Source organism: Homo sapiens, chromosome 8 (assembly GCF_000001405.40).
Source record: "Homo sapiens chromosome 8, GRCh38.p14 Primary Assembly".
Taxonomy (NCBI): Eukaryota; Metazoa; Chordata; class Mammalia; order Primates; family Hominidae; genus Homo; species Homo sapiens.
In genome coordinates, this window is record NC_000008.11 from 141,977,445 (window position 1) to 141,978,865 (window position 1,421).

Below are 1,421 nucleotides of genomic sequence, written 5' to 3' on the forward strand. Positions count from 1 at the left end.
GAGGACCTGGGCCCAGGCTCCAAGTGCTCTTGGCTGAGAGGAGGAAGATGAAGCATAGTGGGGCTGTCCTGGCCCCACAGGGGTGTCAAGAGGGGTGGGGCTCCCAGAGGCACCAGGACCCCAGAGGAAGGCAGCATGGCACAGCACCCAGCCAGGGAGCCACAGACCCAGCCACCCCAGGCTCTAAGGACTTCTGCCAATGGACACGGGCTTGCTGTTTAACCCCTAGAGCTGCAGAGCTGGCCACTCAAGTCTCTGGGAACTTCTGCAGATGACATGTGCCTGCTGTTTAACCCCCAAGCCTGGCTTCCTCGTTTGCACAGTGAGAATTGTCGTAGCCCCCTCCCTGTGCTATCCTAAGCATAAGTGGGACAGCCTTCATGGCCTGCCTCGCAAGGCACTGGCCCCCGGCAGGGACTGGATATGGAATCATGGTGGCCGTCTGCTGCCTGTCTGCAGGGATGGTGACAAGAGCTCAACAGGAATAAGGTCCTGATGCAGATGGGAGTCAGAGATGGGTGACTGGGCAAGTGGACAGAAGCCCCGGTGTGGGGACGACACATGTGCTGGTCAAAGGTGACAGCCAAGATCAGCTGAAGGGTATGGACAGCATGGAGCTGGTGATCAGATGGACCCAACAGCTCTATTGATAGCCTCGCCCAGGCCTGCTCAAGAACAGCACAGCAGGGAGGGTGGCCTCGGTTCCCCATCCGTCACTCAGGGCCTCCCCATGGCCAGGGCTAGAGTCTGGAAGGCTCCAGGGCAGGCTGCCTTCTGGAAGCACCTCCCTTCCCCGGGTCCTCTCCTCCGTCTGTCTCTCTGCCTTCAGCATGGTCCCCCTGGGCTGCCAGCTGGAGCTGGTAATTAGCAGTTGTCTTCCTTGGGCAGACAGTAATCTCAGTCACGTCTCAAGAAGCTCCTGTGTCTCTTTTTCATTAACCACCCATTTCCTAAGTCAAAATACCAGCCAACAGCAAGACAGGAATGCTGAAGGGCAGCCTGGGGCCCTGGGCACTTAGAGCTGGAAGGCACTTTGAGATGCCATCTGATCTACCCACCTCCTTAAGCTCGGCTTCATGTCTACAGAAGTGAGTCTCAGATGGAAAAGGACATTAGCGGGCATTCAGGGCAGTCTCTGGCCAGTTCTTGAGTTCTCTGGACCCCACTGAGTCTGGATTGAACATTCCCAGGGTTTGGGGAGCTCACTTCCTTGCAAAGCAGCCATTTCACCGTGAAACACCTCTGACTCCCAGAGGCCGCTTCTTCACAGTGAGCAGGTCCATCTCCTGGGAACCTCACCCTCCAGTCCCATTTCTGGCTTCAGTGACGACCAAAAGCATACTTGCTCCATGATCCCACAAAGCCCTCTCAGACATGTGAATACTGCTTTGGAAATGAATATTCTGGAGTGTCTTCTCCGC